At 41.9% G+C, this 25,426-nt stretch overlaps 1 long non-coding RNA gene across 4 annotated transcripts; it reads left to right on the top strand.

The window, feature by feature from the left end:
- On the top strand, positions 1–24,645 carry LOC100505874 (uncharacterized). 4 transcript variants are annotated; one of them, NR_184563.1, is made up of 4 exons: positions 1–89; positions 3,477–3,634; positions 7,686–7,763; positions 17,243–24,645. It is a non-coding gene; the product is annotated as an uncharacterized LOC100505874 (long non-coding RNA). The 4 variants fall into 4 exon arrangements; NR_135482.2 differs by having other exon boundaries at positions 3,576–3,634; NR_184562.1 differs by lacking the exons at positions 7,686–7,763; positions 17,243–24,645 and adding an exon at positions 6,435–7,538.
- Positions 24,646–25,426: the final 781 nt, after the last annotated feature.

Here is a 25,426-nt window from a genome sequence, read left to right on the forward strand (position 1 = left end):
TCCCGCCATCTTCCGTCAGAGAATCCCGGCTCCTGCTGCAATAAGAGGCTGTTCTGGAAGCTCTGGGGTTCGGGTCTTTGTCCCTGCAGGTTGGTGGTGGGATGAAACAGGAGACAGCGGGCTTGGAGGCACCACTGGGAGGCGGGACCGACGTGCCACAGTTGGTGGGAGCAGAGGCGTGGGCACATATTGAGGGGGCGGGGCCTGACGCACAGGTGCGGGCCGCGGACCCCGGCTGGGGCTGAAAGGGCGGCGCTGCTGGGAGGGCGGGCGTGGAATCCCCGCACTGAAGCCAGTTCCAGAGGCGCCAAAGCGGCTGGGCGAAGCCGGTGGCGCGGGAAAGGGGTCTGCAGACCGCCCGAGCCTGGGAGGTCTGCGGGGAGGCTGCGCTCCGGCACTGCATGGACCTTGTGCAGCATTCCGTGCACGCCATTGTAAGATCAGCATATGGACAGTTCTAGGGAGATGCCCCTCATTCCCAGAAGAGGACTACGAAATGCGTGCACACCGTCCTACTGCCTGGCGAGTGTATTAGTAGGGTTTCCCGGTGTCTTTCAGCAAGTGAAGATTCTCCTTGTGTCCCATTCCTACTCATCCCATCCATGTTTTAGTTTATAGGAGTTTATAAAAGATCTGGTTTCTAGGGAAGTTGGGGATCCAGATGATGGTCCTGTTTTCTGTGTAATAAGGTAAGTACAAAGTTTGGAAGAGGGCGCCTTTTAGGAATCCCACCTGAAAGAACCCCTCTTTGGACAAACCTTCTCACTGGTACTTCAAAGCAGAGGAAGCGTCACAGGTGAAGATTCCAGTTTGTATGACCCAAGCAGTTATTTTCCCACTCCCCAGAGTGGCCAAGATTTGGTTGATAAGACCTTATCCAGTAGCTCTCAAACACTGGGTGGTAGCGGAAGGTTTGGACCAACATTCAGAAGGAAGAGGGGAGTTTGGCTGCGAATGCAGGCAAGGGCCAAAGAGATGTGACTTATTGGAGGGGACTTAATAGTGTGGTCTTCGGTGGAAAAATAACCTGTTACTCCTGAGAGGATCTGTCTGGAGTACTCTGTAAAGACACTTTCATTCCTTCAATCTTTTCTCATTGTTTCTAGTGGCTGAACTTTCTTAAAAGTAGTGTAGGCCAAGACGGGAGGATCACCTGAGGTTAGGAGTTTGACACCAGCCTGGCCAACATATAGTGAAACCTTGTCTCTACTAAAAAATACAGAAATTAGCTGGGCATAGTGGTGCACACCTGTATAGTCCCAGCTACTTGGGAAACTGAGGCAAGAGAATCACTTGTACTGGGCAGGTGGAGGTTGCAGTGAGCCGAGATTGTGCCACCCTACTCTAGCCTGGGCAACAGAGCGAGACTCTGTCTCTCAAAAAAAAAAAAAAAAAAAGGAAAAGAAAAAAAAGCTTGTCACCAAATGTAGCATCCAGTCACGAAATTTAGCATCTAGTGATATGCCAAAGCTCCCTCTATCCTGGTAGCTCTTCCTGGTAGTTCAGTAAGCGTTTGCCAAACTATTTCTACCTTATGAGAAAGATGAAAAAAATTTGGCTTTGAGGAGCTGGGACTTGCCAGGGTCACATGATATACAGATGTTATGCATCCTGACTTTTTGGCTAGTGTTACTCATTTTGCCCCAGTTAAGTCAAAACTTTTTTTTCCTTTTTTTTTTTTTTAGATTTTTGTTGACACTGAAGTCAACTAAGAACAAACATTGCTTTAAAATACTTTCTCAGCCGCTCACTGCCTGACCAAACCCTCCCACTGGAAAAAATAATAATAAAGTACTTTCCCTTGCCGGGTGCAGTGTCTCACAGCCATAATCATAGCATTTTGGGAGGCCAAGACAGGAGGATCGCTTGCACCCAGGAGTTTGAGACTAGTCTTGGCCACATAGGGAGACCCTATGTGTTTACAAAAAAAAAAAAAAAAAATTTAGCTGGTCGTGGTGGCATGCACCTGTGGATCTAACTACTTGGGGGGCTGAGGTGGGAAGATCACTTGAGCCCAGGAGGGCGAAGTTACAGTGAGCTATGGTTGTGCCACTGCACTCCAGCCTGGGTGACAGAATGAGACTCTGTCTCAAACCAACCAACCAAGCAGAAACATTTCCTTAACCATCTCTGTTCCTTTTTATACCCAACTCTTTCTGTGAATTATGTGACCTCAAGGACAAATGACACAAGTGTTTACCGCTCAGTGTCAGTAATCTGTTCTTGGAAATTATAAATTCTGTAGGAAAACAATAGAGTATTTTACATATTTAAAAAGGGAAGATTAGACAGTGTCTCACTTCTATTCCAACCAGTATCTTAAAACTTAAGTAAAATACAGTACAATGCTCACTTGTAAGAGATCCTTTTTTTGCATTTTTTTAAAGTCAACAGACATTTTTATGATGTAAAGAACCTTAAAACACAGTTTACTAATATGCAAAGAGTTGCTTTTTATGATTCACATGGTATCTTAGCACTAGCAGTCTCACTGATTTCCATCAAGTTGGCATTTATTGTGATTTACAAAACTTCTACATGAGGTTGTGACGTTCTAGTGATTGTATTTGACAAGTAACTTCACATTATCTCCTTCACATGATTTTCTTAAAAACATTAAGTTCTGGTGGCTTAGGTGTATCAGTTACTGTTTTCTGTGTAAAGAACCAACGAAACTCAATGGCTTAAAAAGAAGTTCTGTTGATTCACATTTTGGTGTGTGTTCACCTGGGCATTTCCTTTGCTAATGTTGTCTGGATCACAAATGAGGCTTTGGTCATCTGGTGCCTTCACTCGCATGTCTGGTGGTTCATGCTGACACTTGTTCAAGAAGGCAAGCACCAGTGGGCAAGTACTTTTCCAACCTACATTTTCATCATATTTTCTATGTCCCATTGGCCAAAGCAAGTCAAATGACAGAGCCCCATTTGTTATCAGAGCACACTCTATGAGGTCTTAGATACAGGGAGACTTGTCACTAGGAAACATTACTAAAACAGTATATCCCAAGAAATATACAATATGTACATTTTTCCCCCTATATAATTGTAGGCAAAAAATGTTGGGTTGCAAGATACATCCTTTCAATGATGCTTAGGTATATAAAAGATGCATCCTTTCAATGATGCATAGGTATAAAAGCAAGATGTGTTCTAGTGGAAACACCTATATGGAATCATGTAGAATCTCCATATTAGTAGTGAAATAGTTAATGCAGCTGAATTATATTTCTATAATATTAATTTCATTGAAGACTAAATGTATATTTCTTTGTTTTAAATTATTACATTGTTTTTTGGATAAATTAATTGTCCCTAAATCAGTAGGTAATACATGCTTTCATTAATCCCAAAATAAATTGTATGTATCTCTACTAGTTAATATACTTGTGGGTACATCTTCAGTGGGATATTTGTTGTCCCTTATTGAGGCATGAATGACTATTCTGTCACAGGGAGGTTTTTTTGTTGTTTTAGTCTTTTCCAGCTATTGTGTAGAACATTTTGGGCAGGAGAATCTAGGACCAAGCCACATCAGTTCTCTCCTTAACCCACTCCATTCGACTGTTATCACAGCTATGCTTCCAGAGTGCTCTGTGCATTTTCACGATCAGCAAACAATGAATAAATCTCTGGTGAGTCATTTGTTTATATATTCCTCACTTTGTTTTACATTGTATTTTTTGCCTTTATGGAGTCCATGGATTAAAATGAAAAGATAGAAATAAGTAAAATTCAGGTTAAAGGAAATACACATTAATAAAATAATGCTGGCATGTAGACATATGCAGGTTATAAGCTATAGAACTTGAGTACAAATGTGTCTCTGGTCTTTCCGATGCTGCAACAAAGAGGCAGTCACATTTGTTACATGATTGGAATGGAACCTGGAAAGAGTGTATGTTCCATTCTCATGGGACAGGAAGACTTGCTGTCACCAAAGTCTGGAACACTGACTGCATTGGTCACAGAGATGATGTAGTGAAAAGGTTTTTTTACTGCCAACCTGGAAGTAAACACTTTTAGCATTTTGCAGTATAAATAGTCACTTAGTGCTAAAGCATAACTCCTGTAATGAGGTTTTTCTGGTTGCTGAAACAGTGTGGTCCCAGACAGATTTTGGAAGGCCCTACTTGATTCATGGCTAAATCCTAGAACATCTGGAGGATTGAGTTGACCACAGGTCCTTAACTAACCCCCCATACATTTCTGTCAATTCATCTGTACATGGAGAATTTGTAGCAGATTGTTCACAATTGTATTCTCTGACAAATATTTCCACTGCTCACTTGCACTTTCATTCAATGTAGTCTTAATTGGTTTATTCTAATGCTACCCATTAACCCAAATTATATGCAACTCCAATGGCTATACGCTAGTCTGCCTTACTTGAATCTTGTGCCGTACAGTAATCCCCTTTATCCACAGTTTTGCTTTCTGTTGTTTCAGTTCCCTGTAGTCAACTGCAGACAGAAAAGACAATAAGATATTTTGAATATCTTGAATATTTTGATATTTTGAATATGTTGAATACAGTAGAAGAAGATATTTTGAGACACCACATTCCTATAACTTTTAGTATAGTATGTTGACCTAATTGTTCCATTTTATTGTCGGTAATATCATACTGTGCCTAATTTATAAATTAAACTGTCAAGGGTGTGTATATATAGGAAAAAACATAGTGTATATAGGGTTTGGTACTATACACAGTTTCAGGGACCCACTAGGGGACCTGGAATGTATCCCTCATGGATAAGGGGGGATTCCTGCATTTCAAATTATTGTTCATGATCTTCTCCTGGAAATTCTTCTGTGTTAGTTTCTATCATGACCTCACTGATGCTGCTTGTCTTTTTTTCCTGAATTCTTCTACTTCTCCTTTACATAGCTTATCCAGTTGTTTCATCCAATTCCCCATCCATCCCAATGTGCAGTTCTTTTTTTGTTGTTGGTTGTTTGTTTATTACCAGTTCTGCTGTCTGTGTTGTAGCAGTTGTGTTTCTCTCCAGCTTGGACTTCTCCGGCCTTTAGACCAGGGATCCCAAACCCCCAGGCCATGGACTGCTCCAATGTGTGTCCTGTGAGGAACTGCGCTGCACAGCAGGAGATGAGTAGCAGGCAAGCAAGAATTACTGCCTGCACTCTGCCTCCTGTCAGATGAATGACAGCATTAAATTCTCACAGGAGCATGAACCCTATTGTGAAATATGCATGTGAGGGATCTAGGTTACCTGCTCCTTATGAGAATCTAATGTCTGATGAACAATTTCATCCCAAAACCATCCCCCCTCACACCCTGGTATATGGAAAAATTGTCTTTCACAAAACCTGGTGCCAAAAAGTTTGGGGATCACTGCTCTAGACCACAGGTTCAGCTCTCCATTGAATGATTCTTTGTAGCTATCCGAAAGGCACCTCAAGCTTAAATCCAAAATAAAATTATATCCTTCTCTTTTCCTTTACATACAGTATTAGATTAGACAGTAATTAGCTTCTACATCTCAATAAGAGGAATAGTAAGAATCTTTATCAGTCTTTAATAAACCACAGTTTTCCCTCTGGCTACAAATTGTTTACATTCCTTCCACATGCGAAATATACTTACCTGTAGAGATAAGTATTCACCCATCGAACTGACACCACAAACAGTGTGATAAACAACCTTTGCCTCCACAAATTTCTTCCCCCCTCCCTGCCCCTTTTGGGATACAACCATCTGACTTAAGATATATTCTCTGTATAAGTCCATTCTCCCATTGCTATAAAAAACTACCTCAGACTGGGTAATTTATAAAGAAAAGAGGTTTAATTTGCTCACAGTTCCACAGACTGTAGAGGAAGCATGGCTGGGGAGGCCTCATGAAACTTACAATTATGGTGTAAGATGAAGGGGAAGCAGGCACGTCCTATGTGTCTGGAGCAGGAGAAAGTGGGTGGTGAAGAGGGAGGTTCTATACACTTTTAACAACCAGATCTCGTGAGAATTTACTAACAGGAGAACAGCAAGGGGCAAGTCTGCCCCCTGATCTAGTCACCTCCCACCAGGCCCCTCCTACAGCCAGCCTTGAGGCTTACAATTTGACATGAGATTTGGGCAAGTAAACAAATCGAAACAATACCATCCTCTTAACAAATTTTTAAGTATGCAATTCCGTATTAACTACAGGCTTTGATCTGTAGATTCGATATTTAGAACTTACTCATTGCATAACTAAAACTTATACCCTGCGACCAATACCCCCCCAGTTACCCTTCCCCCTCAGCCCTTGGTAACCAAGATTCAGCTCTATGTTTGTGTAAGTTTAACTGTTTTACATTTTTATATACTTGGAGTTCCTCAGGCTGTACAGGAAGCATGGCTTCATTTGAGCTGGAACAACAGCATCCTTCAGACTTGGTAATTAATAAAGGACAGAAATTTATTCTTAACAGTTCTGGAAGCTGGGAAGTCCAGGATCAAGGCACTGTCATCTGGTACCTGATGAGAGACTTCTTCCTGCATCCTTACATGGTGGAAGACAAAAGAGTGGCAGAGAATGAATATACTCCCAGTCCATTCGAGAGGGAAGAGCCCTCACCTCATCACTTCCCTGAGGCCTCACCTTCTAATACTATCACCTTGGTGATAAGATTTCAACATAGGAATTAGAGGGGAATACATACATCCAGACTATTGCAGATGGGATTATGTAATACTTTGTTCCTGTTTGGCTTATTTCTTAGCACAATATCTTTCTGGTATGTGCATGTTTCTGCAAATGGCAAGATTTTCTTCCTTTTTAAGGCTGAGTAATAATTCATTGCATGTATAGACCACATTTTCTTTATGCATTCATTATTAGTGAGAGTTCTTATTACAAATGGCGAAGTGGTTTTTAATATTGATTTAATTTTTGTTATTAAAAACATTTTTAGATGGTTAGATTCCTTTTTAGAATAAATATACTTCATTAGTTAAGGCAGTTTTAACTTCACAGCAGAATTAAGAAGTACATAGATTTCCTATATACCCTAATGCACATATATATGTATCCTTCGCCCTTTTCAACACCTCCCCCAACCATGGTAGTACCTTTGTTAAAATGAGGAACCTACATTGAGACATCATAGTTGTCCAAAGGCCATAGTTTACATTAGGGTTTACTCTTGTGGTTTTACATGCTATGGGTTTGAGTAAATGTATAATGACATGTATCCAGCCTTATAGTACCTCACAGAACACTTTGTTCTAAAAGTCATCCCTGCTCTTCCTGTTTATTACATATCATCCCCTTAACCCTGCAAACCATCTCCATCATTTCGCATGTTACATAGTTGCAGTTATATAGTAAGTAGCCTTTTCAGACTGCCTTCTTTTACTTAGTAATATGCTTTTAAGTTTCCTCATCTTTTGAGGACAAGATAGCCCATTTCTTTTTAGTGCTGAATTATGTTCTATTGTGTGTACCATAGTTTATCCATTCACTTACTGAAGGGCATCTTGGTTGCTTCCAAATTTTAGTTATTTTGAATAAAGCTGCTATAAATCCCTGTTCACAGGTTTTTATGATAGCATTTATTTTCACTTACTTTGGGTAACTACCAAGGGATGCAGTTGCTGGATCATATGGTGAGAATATGTTTATTTTTCTAAGAACAAATTGTCCTCCAACTGAGTGACTGTACCGCTTTGCATTTCCACAGTCTGAATGAGAGTTCCTGTTGCTGCACATTCTCAATATCAGTTGTTGTCAGTGCTCCAGATTTTGGCCATTCTACTAGGTATGTAGCGGTATCTCATTGTTTTAATATGTTACCCTAACGTTACACAATATAATGCATTCTTTTATGAGTTTATTTCCTATATGGTTCTCATAATTGGTGAGGTATCTGTTAAGGTCTTTGGTCTATTTTATTAGGTGGTTTTCTTACTGTACAGTTTTAAGAGTTTTTGGAATGTTTTGCGTAACAGTCTCTTTATCAGATGTGAGTTTAGTTTTTGGAATGTTTTGTGAAACAGTCTCTTTATCAGATGTGAGTTTTAACAGTTTTTGGAGTGCTTTGTATAACAGCCACTTTATCAGATGCGAGTTTTAAGAGTATTCGGAATGTTTTGCCTAACAGTCTCTTTATCAGATGTGAGTTTTAAGAGTTTTTGGAATGTTTTGCAAAACAGTCTCTTTATCGGATGTCAGTTTTAAGGGTTATTGGAGTGTTTTGTGTAAAGTCTCTTTATCAGATGTGAGTTTTAAGAGTTATTGAAGTGTTTTGAGTAACAGTCTCTTTATCAAATGTGAGTTTTAAGAGTTTCTGGAGTGTTGCATAACAGTCTTTCTTTTTTTTTTTAACACTGATATACATATTTTAATCTCCATCTTAGCCCAATATCAGTATGTGTCCAAATTGATCATGACTTTACTATATCATGCTTTTTACTGTCTCAGCTTGGCTATCAGTACACTCAGAGTTCTTTTTTTTAATTGAGGAATATATATTTATTAATTAATTTTTTATTATACTTTAAGTTATAGGGTACATGTGAACAATGTGCAGGTTAGTTACATATGTATACATGTGCCATGCTGGTGTGCTGCACACATTAACTCGTCATTTAGCATTAGGTATATCTCCTAATGCTATCTCTCCCCTCTCCCTGCACCCTATAACTGTCCCCAGAGTGTGATGTTCCTCTTCCTGTGTCCATGTGTAATCATTTTTCAACTCCCAACTATGAGTGAGAACATGCAGTGTTTGGTTTTTTGTCCTTGTGATAGTTTGCTGAGAATGATGGATTCCAGTTTCATCCATGTCCCTACAAAGGACATGAACTCATCATTTTTCATGGCTGCATAGTATTCCATGGTGTATATGTGCCACATTTGCTTAATCCAGTCTATCATTGTTGGACATTTGGGTTGGTTCCAAGTCTTTGCTATTATGAATAGAGCCGCAATAAACATACGTGTTCATGTGTCTTTATAGCAGCATGATTTATAGTCATTTGGGTATATACCCAATAATGGGATGGCTGGGTCAAATGGTAGTTCTAGTTCTAGATCCCTGAGGAATCACCACACTGACTTCCACAATGGTTGAACTAGTTTACAGTCCCACAAACAGTGTAAAAGTGTTCCTATTTCTCCACATCCTCTCCAACACCTGTTGCCTCCTGACTTTTTAATGATCACCATTCTAACTGGTGTGAGATGGTATCTCATTGTGGTTTTGATTTGCATTTCTCTGATGGGCAGTGATGGTGAGAATTTTTTCATGTGTTTTCTGGCTGTATAAATGTCTTCTTTTGAGAAGTGTCTGTTCATGTCCTTCACCCACTTTTTGATGGGATTGTTTGTTTTTTTCTTGTAAATTTGTTTGAGTTCATTGTAGATTCTGGATATTAGCCCTTTGTCAGATGAGTAAGTTGCAAAACTTTTCTCCCATTCTGTAGGTTGCCTGTTCACTCTGATGGTAGTTTCTTTTCTGTGCAGAAGCTCTTTAATTAGATCCCATTTGTCAATTTGGCTTTGGTTGCCATTGCTTTTGGTGTTTTAGACATGAAGTCCTTGCACATGCCTATGTCCTGAATGGTATTGCCTAGGTTTTCTTCTAGGGTTTTTATGGTTTTAGGTCTAATGTTTAAGTCTTTAAACCTTCTTGAATTAATTTTTGTATAAGGTGTAAGGAAGGGATCCAGCTTTAGCTTTCTACAAATGGCTAGCCTGTTTTCCCAGCACCATTTATTAAATAGGGAATCCTTTCCCCATTGCTTGTTTTTCTCAGGTTTGTCAAAGATCAGATAGTTGTAGATATGTGGCATTATTTCTGAGGGCTCTGTTTTGTTCCATTGGTCTATATCTCTGTTTTGGTACCAGTACCGTGCTGTTTTGGTTACTGGTTACTGTAGCCTTGTAGTATTGTTTGAAGTCAGGTAGTGTGATGCCTCCAGCTTTGTTCTTTTGACTTAAGATTGACGTGGCGATACGGGCTCTTTTTTGGTTCCATATGAACTTTAAAGTAGTTTTTCCAATTCTGTGAGGAAAGTCATTGGTAGCTTGATGGGGATGGCATTGAATCTATAAATTACCTTGGGCATTATGACCATTTTTACGATATTGATTCTTCCTACCCATGAGCATGGAATGTTCTTCCATTTGTTTGTATCCTCTTTTATTTCCTTGAGCAGTGGTTTGTAGTTCACCTTGAAGAGGTCCTTCACGTCCCTTGTAGGTTGGATTCCTGGGTATTTTATTCTCTTTGAAGCAATTGTGAATGGGAGTTCACTTATGATTTGGCTCTCTGTTTGTCTATTATTGGTGTATAAAAATGCTTGTGATTTTTGTACATTGATTTTGTATCCTGAGACTTTGCTGAAGTTGCTTATCAGCTGAAGGAGATTTTGGGCTGAGACAATGGGGTTTTCTAGATACACAATCATGTCATCTGCAAACAGGGACAATTTGACTTCCTCTTTTCCTAATTGAATACCCTTTATTTCCTTCTCCTGCCTAATTGCCCTGGCCAGAACTTCCAACACTATGTTGAATAGGAGTGGTGAGAGAGGGCATCCCTGTCTTGTGTCAGTTTTCAAAGGGAATGCTTCCAGTTTTTGACCATTCAGTATGATATTGGCTGTGGGTTTGTCATAGATAGCTCTTATTATTTTGAAATACGTCCCATCAATACCTAATTTATTGAGAGTTTTTAGCATGAAGGGTTGTTGAATTTTGTCAAAGGCCTTTTCTGTATCTATTGAGATAATCATGTGGTTTTTGTCTTTGGTTCTGTTTATATGCTGGACTACATTTATTGATTTGTGTATATTGAACCAGCCTTGCATCCCAGGGATGAAGCCCACTTGATCATGGTGGACAAGCTTTTTGATGTGCTGCTGTATTCAGTTTGCCAGTATTTTATTGAGGGTTTTTGCATCAATGTTCATCAAGGATATTGGTCTAAAATTCTCTTTTTTGGTTGTGTCTCTGCCTGGCTTTGGTATCAGGATGATGCTGGCCTCATAAAATGAGTTAGGGAGGATTTCCTCTTTTTCTATTGATTGGAATAGTTTCAGAAGGAACGGTACCAGTTCCTCCTTGTACCTCTGGCAGAATTCGTCTGTGAATCCATCTGGTCCTGGACTCCTTTTGGTTGGTAAGCTATTGATTATTGCCACAATTTCAGAACCTGTTATTGGTCTATTCAGAGATTCAAGTTATTCCTGGTTTAGTCTTGGTAGAGTGTATGTATATAGGAATTTATCCATTTCTTCTAGATTTTCTAGTTTATTTGTGTAGAGGTGTTGGTAGTATTATCTGATGGTAGTTTGTATTTCTGTGGGATCGGTGGTGATATCCCCTTTATCATTTTTTATTGCATCTATTTGATTCTTCTCTCTTTTCTTCTGTATTAGTCTTGCTAGTGGTCTATCAATTTTGTTGATCCTTTCAAAAAAACAGCTCCTGGATCCATTAATTTTTTGAAGGGTGTCTCTATTTCCTTCAGTTCTGCTCTGATTTTAGTTATTTCTTGCCTTCTGCTAGCTTTTGAATGTGTTTGCTCTTGCTTTTCTAGTTCTTTTAATTGTGATGTTAGGGTGTCAATTTTGGATCTTTTCTGCTTTCTCTTGTGGGCAGTTAGTGCTATAAATTTCCCTCTACACACTGCTTTAAATGTGTCCCTGAGATTCTGGTGTTTTTTGTCTTTGTTCTCACTGGTTTCCAAGAACATCTTTATTGTTACCTTTATTTCATTATTTACCCAGTAGTCATTCATGAGCAGTTTGTTCAGTTTCCACGAACTTATGCTGTTTTGAGTGAGTTTCTTAATCCTGAGTCCTAATTTGATTGCTCTGTGATCTGAGAGACAGTTTGTTGTGATATCTGTTCTTTTACATTTGCTGAGGAGTGCTTACTTCCAATTATGTGATCCATTTTAGAATAAGTGTGATGTGGTACTGAGAAGAATGTTTATTCTGCTGATATGGGGTGGAGAGTTCTGTAGATTTCTGTTAGGTCTGCTTGGTGCAGAGCTGAGCTGAAGTCCTGGATATCCTTGTTAACCTTCTGTCTTGTTGATTTGTCTAATATTGACAGTAGGGTGTTAAAATCTCCCATGATTATTTTGTGGAAGTCTAAGTCTGTTTGTAGGTATCTAAGGACTTAATTTATGAATCCGGGTCCTCCTGTGTTGGGTGCATATATATTTACAGTAGTTAGCTCTTCTTGCTGAATTAATCCTTTTGCCATTGTATAATGGCCTTCTTAGTGTCCTTTGATCTTTGTTTGTTTAAAGTCTGTTTTATCAGAGACTAGGATTGCAACCCCTGCTTTAAAATTTTTTTTTTTTTGCTTTCCATTTGCTTGGTAGATCTTCCTCATCCCTTTATTTTGAGCCTATGTGTGTCTCTGCACGTGAGATGTGTCTTCTGAATACAGCACATTGATGGGTCTTGACTCTTTATCCAATTTGCCAGTCTATGTCTTTTAATTGGGGCATTTAGTCCATTTACATTTAAGATCAATATTGTTATGTGTGAATTTGATCCTGTCATTATAATGTTAGCTTGATCTTTTGCCCATTTTTTGATGCAGCTTCTTCATAGTATCAATGTTCTTTACAATTTGACATGTTTTTTGCAGGGGCTTGTACTGGTAGTTCCTTTCCATTCTTAGTGCTTCCTTCAGGAGCTCTTGTAAGGCAGGCCAGGTGGTGACAAAATCTCTCTGCATTTGCTTGTCTGTAAAGGATTTTATTTCTCCTTCACTTATGAAGCTTAGTTTAGCTGGATATGAAATTTTGGGCTGAAAATTCTTTTCTTTAAGAATGTTGAATATTGGTCCCCACTTTCTTCTGGCTTGCAGGGTTTCTGCTGACAGATCTGCTGTTAGTCTGATGGGCTTCCCTTTGTGGATAACCCAACCTTTCTCTCTGGCTGCCCTTAACATTTTTTCCTTCATTTCAACCCTGGTGAATCTGACAATTAGTGTCTTGGGGTTGCTCTTATCTAGAAGTATCTTTGTGGTATTCTCTGTATTTCCTGAATTTGAATGTTGGCCTGCCTTGCTATGTTGGAAAAGTTCTTCTGAATAATAACCTAAGGAGTGTTTTCCAACTTGGTTCCAATCTCTCCATCACATTTAGGTACACCAAGCAAATGTAGATTTGGTCTTTTCACATTGTTCCATTTTTCATGGAGGCTTTGTTTGTTTCTTTCCAATCTTTTTACTCTAAACTTACCTTCTCACTGTATTTTATTAATTTGATCTTCAATCACTGATATGCTTTCTTCCACTGGATTGAATCAGCTTTTGAAGGTTGTGCATGTGCCACAAAGTTCTTGTGCCATATCAGCTCCATAATGTCATTAATGTATTCTCTACACTGTTTATACTAGTTAGCCATTGTCTGACCATTTTTCATGGTTTTTAGCTTCCTTGCAGTGTGTTCAAACACGCTCTTTTAGCTCAGAGAAGTTTCTTATTAGCAACCTTCTGAAGCCTCCTTCTGTCAACAGGTCAAAGTCATTCTCCCTTCAGCTTTGTTCTGTTGCTGGTGAGGAGCTGCAATCCTTTGAAGGAAAAGAAGTGTTCTGGGTTTTAGGATTTTCATCTTTTCTGCTCTGGATTCTTCCCATCTTTGTGGTTTTCTCTACCTTTGGTCTTTGATGTTGTTAACCTAGAGATGGGGTTTTGGTGTGGATGTCCTTTTTTTTTATGTTGATGCTATTCCTTTCTGTTTGTTAGTTTTCCTACTAACAGTCAGATCCCTCAGCTGCAGGTCTGTTGGATTTTGCTGGAGGTCCACTCCAGGCCTTGTTTGCCTGGGTATCACCAGAAGAGGCTGAAGAACAGCAAATATTGCTTCCTGATCCTTCCCTGGAAGCTTCATTGAAGAGGGGCTCCCACCTGTATGAGGTGTCTGTTGGCCCTTACTAGGAGTTGTCTCCCAGTTAGGCTACATGGGGTTCAGGGACCCACTTGAGGAGGCAGTATGTCCATTCTCAGAGCTCAAACACCATGCCGGGAGTACCACGGCTCTCTTCAGAGCTGTCAGATGGGATGTTTAAGTCCGCAGAAGTTTCTGCTACCTTTTACTCAGCTATGCCCTGCCCACAGAGTTTGAGTTTATTAAGGCAGTAGGCCTTGCTGAGCTGTGAGTGGCTCTACCCAGTTCAAGCTTCCTGACCACTTTATTTACCTACTCAAACCTCAAAAATTGCAGATTCACCTCCCCCTGCCCAGCTGCTGCCTTGAAGGTTAATCTCAGACTGCTTCCCTAGCAGTGAACAAGGCTCTCTGGGTGTGGGACTCAATGAACCCAGCACAGGAGAGAATCTCCTGGTCTGCCAGGTGCTAAGACTGTGGGAAAAGTGCAGCATTTGGGTGAGAGTGTCCTGTTTTTCCAGGTACAGTCTGTCATGCCTTCCCTCAGCTAGGAAAGGAAAATCCCTCAAACCCTTGCACTTCCTTGATGAGTTGATGCCCTGTCCTGCTTCGGCTAACCCTCCATGTGATGAACCCACTGTCCAACCAATCCCGATGAGATGAATCAGGTACCTCAGTTGGAAATGCAGAAATCAACCATTTTCTGCTTGATTACACTGGGAGCAAAATCGAATGCCATTAGGTATGCTTGCAGCAGCCAAAGGAGGGGTTTGAACCTTGCTGCATACTGAATGTTGTGTGTGTATCCCTGACAGTTCTCACAATATTACTTTCCTTGCCCAAGACATGCAAGGACAACTAAAACAGTTAGAATCTGTCAGGACCCCATCATGAATTGGCTGTCCAACTGACATTGGCGTTGGCCTTGGTGGGTGTGATTTTATTTAATTGTGCTTTAATTCTCCTCTGCTTACCCTGCTTCTTTAACCTCTACCAATGATGTATTCCCCGTATATCTGCAAGGGTGTTTTCCTACAATTGAGTATCAAGTGGGACCGAATACAGAGAAAAAGTTAAATAATATATTTCAACTCAATTGAACATGGACACAATGGTCACCAAGTCCCAGAATAGGTTTTGTGAGCCCCTTGAGGCATTCATCCAGCACTGTTTCAGAGAAATCTCTATTTCAATCTATTCCTATACGTTAGTTATTGAAAAACAACAGACAATGGCAAAAACAAATTGACCTTTTTGTGTTCCTTTGTGCATGGACGAATGGCTGACTCTGGAGCCCAGGCTGTTGCTTCTCGGTCTGGTGATCAATCTTCCATAGTCTATCTATATATATATATATATATACATATGTATACACATTTTTTTCCTTCTCCCCTTTCCCATTGTAATTTGCTTGTTGTATCAATTTGCTTATTTTATCATCATTTGCTTATTATATCTGCATTGCCATTTATGTGGGATAGAGTTTGTTGACCTTTAAAGTTTTGTGTGTGTGTGTTTTCTCCTCCCCTGGAGCATCTCCTGCACATAACACCTCTCTTCCTGTCATAGCCAGAAATTCAGTTTTTAAGTTTTTTTCTGGGGTCTTCTTGCTCAAGAGGAAGTATGTTCAGTGATACGTGGCTTAGAATTTTATTTTTAGCTTTTATTACATTCTAAACCCCCAGCAGAAAGAAGTCTTAACAAACACAGATTTTAATTTATGAACATTCTTCTAATAAGTTTTGTATGGTAGCGGAACAACTAAAAAAACTGTTTTTTGCATTGATGACCTACCTCATTACAATTTAACCTCTAAAGGTTGTTTTAGCCAGCTCTACAGGCTGCTATGGTTAAGGTGAATTTACTGCTTCTTCCCACAATAGAGAATGGTATTTTAAAATAGCATAACTTCTATGGAATATATTTTTAAAGCATGACCACAATTTGAATAATTAGAATATTTAAAAATTCCGAAGATTGTTATACCAACACTGCACTAAAATTTATCCTTCCATTGATGACAGGGAATTTTTAATAGTTATTTTTATAATAAATTAAATTTTAATAAAATAACTGACTTTCAAACTTTAGCAAGAGGACACATATTCAGACAGAGATATCAGTTCCCCCTTAGAAAAAAATATTCACTTCTCATTAAAATCTCTCTGTATCTTACTGATTTCAGATAGAAGTTAAATTTCACCTTAATAACAGAAACAAAAGAACTAGTTAAACTGACAAAAACTAATAAACGTATGCCCAAATTTACTGGCAGAATCATGAGTACACCATATAATAGTAACATTCTACCAGTTTTAAGTAAAATAAATGAGGAAATAATCTTGACTGTACAACCTACCAGGAGGGGCGTGTCCCTGCTCCCAGATGAGTGGGAACGCTGCACTCTGGGGTGGTTGCGCCTCAGCTTCTGGCAACTCTTGTTGGCAGCATTGCCATTGCAGGGACAAGGCAGGCGTTGGGGGGGCGGGCAGTGGGCCAGGCCCAGGCACGTCCTTTGCCAGAGACTGGGCAGGTGCGGAGAGGGGCGAAGCAGTGCTGCCCTGGTCGAGGGAGCCTCCCGCTCTGGACGGTTCGCCAAACCTGCCCCAGGAGGTTGCTGCAGGAGCTGGGTGGGGAAGGGGAGGGATGAGGGGATGCAGGCCAGATCAGGTGGCCCCTTAGCCCTGGGTGATGCAAGAGGGGCTGTGGGAGACCAGAGAAGACCCGGAGCAGAAACTGGGAACTGATATCTCTGGCTGAATATTTGTCCTCTTGCTGAAGTTTGAAAGTCAGTTATTTCATTACAGTTCAATTTTATTACAAAAATAACAACTATTAAAAATTCCCTGTAGTCACTGGAATGATAAATTTTGGTGCAGTTTTAGCATAACAATCTTTGGAGTTTTTAGATATTCTAATTATTGAAATTGCAGCCATGTTTCAAAATACATGCCATATATTTTTATGGCATCCACCCCTGGGTCCCTGTGTCCCGCATCCGCCTCTGTGTACCTGCTGGCTCAGGAAACGAGCTTCTTCCTACTTCCACAGACTCCAATCAGGCTGCCCTTCCTCCTGGTACTTGAGGCACACGTGGGGATAGCCTGCCAGTGAATAGCCCGAGAATGCCCGGCCTGTGCCGTGTGCTCAGAGTGGGGTCCTGGCTGGTGCCCCTCAGAGCCCCTCACAAAGCAGGGCTAGGTGTGGAGGGACCTAGCACCAGGCAGCGGTGAGCGGATGGATGCTCCAGGGATGTGGGGCTGCTGACAGTCAAGAACCCTTTGCCAAATTCAATGGCATAATGTAGGATATTTTTTCCCTTATATTTTTGTGTAGGAGTTTTACAACTTTCAGCCTTACATTTGTATTTTCTTAACATAGGATTCCAGAACAATGCTACGAGGGTCTGAATGCCTGTCCCACACATAGGATTCTAGAACACCCCAGCTGTCGTCTGAATGATTGCCCCCCACATATGATTCCAGAACACTGCTGCTGCGGTCTGAATGATTGTACCTCACACAGGATTCCAGAACACTCCTCCTCTAGTCTGAATGTTTGTCCCTCAGATAATATTCCGGAACACTGCTGCTGGGTTCTGAGTGTTTGTCCCTCACATAGGATTCCAGAACACTGCTAAGAGGGTCTGAATGTTTGTCCTTCACATGAGATTGCAGAACACTGCTAAGAGGGTACGATTGTTTCTACCTCACATAAGATTCCAGAACACTTCTACGAGGGTCTGAATCTTTGTCCCATACATAGGACTCCAGAACACTCCTGCTGTGTTCTGAATGTGTTTTCCTAACATAGGATTCCAGAACAATGCTACGAGGGTCTGAATGCTTCTCCCACAAGTAGGATTCCAGAACACCCCAGCTGCAGTCTGAATGATTGTCCCTCACATAGGATTCCAGAACACTGCTGCTGGGTTCTGAGTGTTTCTCCCTCACATAGGATTCCAGAACACTGGTACAAGGGTCTGAATGATTGTACCTCACATAGGATTCCAGAACACTCCTGCTCTGGTCTGAATTTTTGTCCCTCAGATAGGATTCCAGAACACTACTACTGGGTTCTGAGTGTTTGTCTCCCACGTAGGATTCCACAACACTGCTACGAGGGTCTGAATGTTTGTCCCACACATAGGACTCCAGAACACTCCTGCTCTGGTCTGAATGTTTGTCCCTCAGATAGGATTCCAGAACACAGCTTCTGGGTTCTGAGTATTTGTCCCTCACATAGGATTCCAGAACACTGCTACTGGGTTCTGAGTGTTTCTCCCTCACATAGGATTCCACAACACTGCTAAGAGTTTCTGAATGTTTGTCTCATACATAGGATTCCAGAACACTGCTACGTGGGTCTAAATGTTTGTCCCTCACATAGGATTCCAGAACACTACTGATGTGGTCTGAATGCTTGACCCTCACATAGGATTCCAGAATATTCCTGTTGTCTTCTGGGTGTTTGTGACTCACAAGGGTTTCCAGATCTATCCTGCTGTGTTCTGAATGTTTCCCCCTCAGATAGGATTCCAAAACATTCCTTCTGTGGTCTGAGTGTTTGTCTCTCAAATAGGATTCCAAAACACTGCTACTGGGGTCTGAATGTTTGTGCCTCAAATAGGATTCCAGAACACTGCTATGAGGGTCTGAATTATTCTCCCTCACATAGCATTCCAGAACACTCCTGCTGTGGTCTGAATGTTTATGCCTCACTCAGGATTCCAGAACATTCCTGCTGTGGTCTGAATGGTTGTCCCTCACTTAGGATTCCAGAACACTGCTGTTGGGTTCTGAGTGTTTGTCCCGCACATAAGATTCCAGAACACTGCTACTTGGGTGTCAATGTTTGTCCCTCAGATAGGATTCCAGAACACTGCTGATGGGGTCTGAATGCTTGTCCCTCACATTGGATTCCAGAACACTCCTGCTGTGGTCTGAATGTTTGAACATCACATAGGATTACAGAACACTGCTGTGGGTTTCTGAGTATTTGTCCCTCTCATAGGATTCCGGAACACTGCTACGAGAGTCTGAATATTTGTCCCACACATAGGACTCCAGAACACTCCCGCTGTGTTCTGAATGTATTTTCCTAAAATAGGATTCCAGAACAATGCTACGAGAGTCTGAATGCGTTTCCAACCCGTAGGATTCAAGAAGACCCCAGTTGTGGTCTCAATGATTGTCCCTCACATAGGATTCCAGAACACTGCTGCTGGGTTCTGAGTGTTTTTCCCTCACATAGGATTCCAGACCACTGCTACGAGGGTCTGAATTATTCTCCCTCACATAGGATTCCAGAACACTCCTGCTGTGGTCTGAATGTTTGCCCCTCACTTAGGATTCCAGAACACTGCTGCGGGGTTCTGAGTGTTTGTCCCTCACATAGGATTCCAGAACACTGTTACGAGGTTCTGAAAGTTTGTCCCTCACGTAGGATTCCATTACACTAGTGCTGTGGTCTGAATGGTTGACACTCACATAGGATTCCAGAACATTCCTGCTGTATTCTGAATGGTTGACCCTCACATAGGATTCCAGTACATTCCTGCTGTGGTCTGGGTGTTTTTGCCTCACATGGGATTTCATAACAATCCTGCTGTGGTCTGACTGTTTGTCCCTCACATAGGATTCCAAAACATTCCTGCTGTGGTCTGAGTGTTTGTACCACAAATAGGATTCCAGAATACTGCTACTGGTGTCTGAAAGTTTGTCCCTCACATTGGATTACAGAACACTGCTAACAGCGTCTGATTTATTCTCCCTCATATAGGATTCCAGAACACTCCTGCTGTGGTCTGAATGTTTGTCCCACTCTTAGGATTCCAGAACACTGCTGTTGGAGTCTGAGTGTTTGTCCCTCATGTACGATTCCAGAACACTGCTACGTGGGTCTAAATGATTTTCCCTCACATCAGATTCCAGAACACTGCTACGAGGCTCTGAATGTTTGTCCCACACATAGGACTCCAGAACACTCCTGCTTTGTTCTGAAGGTATTTTCCTCACATAGGATTCCAGAACAATGCTACAAGGGTCTGAATGTTTGTTCCACACGTGGGATTCCAGAACACCTCAGTGGTTTTCTGAATGATTGTCCCACACATAGGATTCCAGAACAAAGCTGCTGGGTTCTGAGTGTTTGTCCTTCAAATATGTTTCCAGAACACTCCTGCTCTGGTCAGAATGTTTGTCACTCACTGAAGATTCCAGATCCCTGTTCTTGGGTACTGAGTGTTTCCCCCCCCATACGATTCCAGAACATTGCTACGTGGGTCTAAATGTTGGTCCCTCCCATAGAATTCCAGAACACTGCTACGAGGTTCTGAATGCTTGTCCCGCACATAGGACTCCAGAACACTCCTACTGTGTTCTGAATGTTCTTCCTCACATAGGATTCCAGAACAATGCTACGAGGTTCTGAATATTTGTCCCACACCTAGGGATCCAAAACACCCCAACTGGGGTCTGAATGACTGTCCCTCACATAGGACTCCAGAACACTGCTGCTGTGTTCTGAATGTTCTTCCTCACATAGTATTCCATAACATTGCTATGAGGGTCTGAATGTTTGTCTCACACATAGGGACCCAGAACATCCCAGATGTGGTGTGAATGATTGTCCCTCACATAGGATTCCAGAACGCAGCTGCTGGGTTCTGAGTGTTTCTCCTTTACGTAGGATTCCAAAACATTGCTACTGGGATCTGAATTTTTCTCCCTCACATAGGATTCCAGAACTCTGCTATGAGGATCTTAATTATTCTCCCTCACATAGGATTCCAGAACACTCCTGTTGTGGTCTGAATGTTTGTCCCTCACTTAAGCTTCCAGAACACTGCTGTCGGGTTCTGTGTGTTTGACCCTCACGTACGATTCCAAAACACTGCTACGTGTGTCTAAATGTTTTTCCCTCACATAAGATTCCAGAACACTGCTATGAGGGTCTGTATGTTTGTCCCGCACGTAGGTCCGCAGAACACTACTGCTGTGTTCTGAAGGGTTTTTCCTCACATAGGATTCCAGAACAATGCTACAATGGTATAAATGATTGTCCCTCACAGAGGATTCCAGCACACTTCTTCTGGGTTCTGAATGTTTCTCCCTCACATAGGATTACAGAACACTCCTTCTATGATCTGAATGTTTGTCCCTCACTTAGGAATGCAGAACACTGCTGTTGGGTTCTGACTGTTTGTCCTTCACGTACGGTTACAGAACACTGATACATGGGTGTAAATGTTTGTCCCTCACATAGGATTCTAGAACACTGCTACAAGGGACTGAATGTTTGTCTCGCACATAGGACTCTGGAACACACCTAGTGTGTTCTGAAAGTATTTTCCTCACATAGGATTCCACAGCAATGCTACGTGAGTCTGAATCTTTGTCCCAAACCTAGGACTCCAGAACAACTCAGCTGTGGTCTGAATGATTGTCCCTCACATAGGATTCCAGAACACTGCTGCTGGGTTGTGAGTGTTTCTCCCTCACATGGTATTCCAGAACACTGCTACTGTGGTCTGAAAGTTTTTCCCTCACATAGGATTGCAGAACACTGCTACGAGGGTCTGAATTATTCTCCCTCACATAGGATTCCAGAAGATTCCTTCGTGGTCTGTATGTTTGTCCCTCAATTAGGATTCCAGGACACTGCTGTAGGGTTCCAAGTGTTTGTCTCTCACTTGCGGTTCCAGAACACTGCTCCCTGGGTCTAAAAGTTTGTTCCTCACATAGGATTGCAGAACAGTGCTACAAGGGTCCGGGTCTGAATGTTTGCCCCACACATAGGATTCCAGAATGCCTCAACTGTGGTATGAATGATTGTCCCTCATATAGGATTCCACAATACTACTACTGGGTTATGAGTGTTTCTCCCTCACATGGCATTCCAGAACACTGCTACGAGGGACTGAATGTTTGTCCCGCACATAGGACTCCACAACACTCCTGTTGTGTTCTGAATGTATTTTCCTCAAAGAGGATTCCAGAAAAATGCTACGCGGGTCTGCATGTTTGTCCCACACGTAGGACTCCAGAACACCCCGGCTGTAGTCTGAATGATTGTCCCTCACATAGGATTGCAGAACACTGCTTCTGGGTTGAGCATTTCTCCCTCACATAGGATTCCAGAACACTGCTACGAGGGTCTGTATTATTCTCCCTCACAATGGATTCCAGAATATTCCTTCTGTGATCTGTGTGTTTTTCCCTCAATTAGCATTCCAGGACACCGCTGCTGGGTTCTGAGTGTTTCTCCCTCACATAGGATTGCAGAACCCTGCTACTGACATCTGAATATTTGTCCCTCACAAAGGATTCCAGAACACTGCTGCAATGGTCTGAATTATTCTCCCTCACATAGGACTCCAGGACACTCCTACTGTGGTCTGAATGTTTTTCCCTCACTTAGGACTCCAAAACACTGCTGTTGGGTTCTGAGTGTTTGTCCCTCATGTACGATTCCAGAACACTGCTACGTGCTTCTAAATGTTTGTCCCTCACATAGGATTCCAGAACACTACCATGAGAGTATGAGTGTTTGTCATGCACATAGGACTCCAGAACACTCCTTCTGTGTTCTGAATGTTCTTCCTCACATAGGATTCTGGAACAATGATACGAGGGTCTGAATGTTTGTCCCACACGTAGGATTCCAGAACACCCCAGCTGTGTTCTGAATGATTGTCCCTTACATAGAATTCCAGAACACTGCTGCTGTGGCCTGAATGTTTGTTCCTCACATAGGATTCCAGAACTCTCTTGCTGTGGTCTGAATGTTTGTCCCTCCTATAGGATTCCAGAACACTGCTGCTGTGTTCTGAAAGGTTGACCCTTACATAGGATTCCAGAACACTCCTGTTGTGGTCTGGGTGTTTGTGCCTTACGTGGGATTCCAGAACAATCCTGCTGTGGTCTGCATGATTCTCCCTCACATAGGATTCCAAAACATTCCTGCTGTGGTCTGAGTGTTTGTCCCACAAATAGGATTCCAGAATACTTCTACTGTGGTCTGAAAGTTTGTTCCTCACGTAGGATTCCAGAGCACTGCTACGAGGGTCTGAATGTTTGTCCCACACATAGGACTCCACAACACTCCTGCTGTCTTCTGAATGTTCTTCCTCACATAGGATTCCAGAACATTACTACGAGGGTCTGAATGTTTGTCCCACACCTAGGGATCCAGAACACCCCAGCTGTGGTCTGAATGATTGTCCAACACATAGGATTCCAGAACACTGCTGCTGGGTTCTGAGTGTTTCTCCCTCACTGAGGATTCCATAACACTGCTACTGGGGTCTGAATTTTTTTCCCTCAGATAGGATTCGAGAACACTGCTACAAGGGTCTCAATTATTCTCCCACACATGGGATTCCAGAACACTCCTGCTGTGGTCTGAATGTTTGTCCCTCACTTAAGATTCCAGAACACTGTTGTTGGGTTCGGAATGTTTGTTCCTCACGTACGATTCCAGAAGACTGCTATGTGGGTCTAAATGTTTTTCCCTTACCTAGGATTCCAGAACACTGTTTCGAGGGTCTGTATGTTTGTCTCGCACATAGATCTCCAGAATACTACTGCTGTGTTTTGAAGGTGTTTTTCTCACATAGGATTCCAGAACAATGTTACAATGGTCTGGATGATTGTCTCTTACATAGGATTCCAGAACATGGCTTATGGGTTCTGAGTGTTTCTCCCTCACATAGGATTACAGAACACTCCTTCTGTGGTCTGAATGTTTGTCGCTCACTTAGGAATCCAGAACACTGCTGTTGGGTTCTGAGTGTCCCTCACGTAGGGTTACAGAACAATTCTACATGAGTCTAAATGTTTGTCCCTCACATAGGATTCCAGAACCGTGCTATGAAGGACTGAATGCTTTTTCTTCATATAAGACTACAGAACACTCCTGCTGTGTTCTGAATGTATTTTATTCACATAGAAGTCCCGAACAATGCTACAAGGTTCTGAATCTTTGTTCCACACTTAGGATTCTAGTACACCCTAGCGGTTTTCTGAATGATTGTCCCACACATAGGACTCCAGAACACTGCTGCTGGGTTCTGAAGCTTTCTCCCTCAAATAGGTTTCCAGAACTCTCCTGTTGTGGTCAGAATGTTTGTCCCTCACTGAGGATTCCAGATCCCTGCCCTTGGGTACTGAGTGTTTGCCTCACATAGGATTCCAGAACACTGCTACTGTGGACTGCATTTATATCCCGCATATAGGCTTCCAGAACACTCCTGCTGTGTTTTGAAAGTATTTTACTCACACAGGATTCCAGAACAACGCTACTAGCGTGTGAATGTTTCTTTCACATGTAGGATTTCAGAGCACCCCAGGTGTGATCTGAATGATTGTCCCTCCCATAGGATTCCAGAACACTGCTGCTCAGTTGTGAGTGTTTCTCCCTCACATAGGATTCCAGAACACTACTGCTGTGGTCTGAATGTTTGTCCCTCACATAGGATTCCAGAACACTGCTACGAGTGTCTGAATTATTCTCCCTCACATAGGATTCCAGAAGATTCCTGCTGTGGTCTGAATGTTTGTCCCTCACTTGGGATTCTAGGACACTGCTGTTGGGTTCTGAGTGTTTGTCCCTTATGTAAGATTCCAGAACACTGTTCCGTGGGTTTAAATGTTTATCCCTCACATAGGATTGCAGAATACTGCTGTGAGGTTCTGAATGTTTGTCCCGCACAATGGACTCCAGAAATCTCCTTCTGTGTTCTGAATGTATTTACCTCACATAAAATTCCAGAACAATGCTAAGAGGGTCTGAATGTTTGTCCCACACTTAGGAATCCAGAACACCACAGCTGTGGTCTGAAAGATCGTCCCTCACATTGGATTCCCGAACACTGCTGCTGGGTTCTGAGTGTTTCTCCTTCACATAGGACTCCAGAACTCTGCTACGAGGTTCTGAATGATTGTACCTCACATAGTATTCCAGAACCCTCCTGCTCCGTTCTGAATATTTGTCCCACAGATAGGATTCCAGATCACTGCTCTTAGGTTCTGCACGTTTGTCCCTCAAATAGGATTCCAGAACACTGCTGCTGTGTTCAAAATGTTTGTTCCTCGCATAGGACTCCAGAACTCACCTGCTATGGTCTGAACGATTGTCCCTCATATAGGAATCCAGAACATTACTGCCTTGGTCTGAATTGTTGACCAGAATCCTGCTGTGGTCTGAATGTTTCTCCCTCACATAGGTTCCAAAACATTCCTGCTGTTTTCTGAGTGTTTCTCCCACAAATAGGATTCCAGAACACTGCTACTGTGGTCTGAAAGTTTCTCCCTCACATAGGATTCCAGAACACTGCTACAAGGGTCTGAATTATTCTCCATCATATAGGATTCCAGAACACTCCTGTTGTCGTCTGAATGTTTATCCCTCACTGAGGATTCCAGAACACTGCTGTTGGGTTCTGAGTGTTTGTCCCTCATGTACGATTCCAGAACCCTGCCACGTGGGTCTAAATGTTTGTCCCTCACACAGGACTCCAGAACAATGCTACGAGGGTCTGAATCTTTGTCCCAAACTTGGATT

The sequence above is a fragment of the Homo sapiens genome, unplaced genomic scaffold, assembly GCF_000001405.40.
Source record: "Homo sapiens unplaced genomic scaffold, GRCh38.p14 Primary Assembly HSCHRUN_RANDOM_CTG16".
In the NCBI taxonomy this organism is placed as follows: Eukaryota; Metazoa; Chordata; class Mammalia; order Primates; family Hominidae; genus Homo; species Homo sapiens.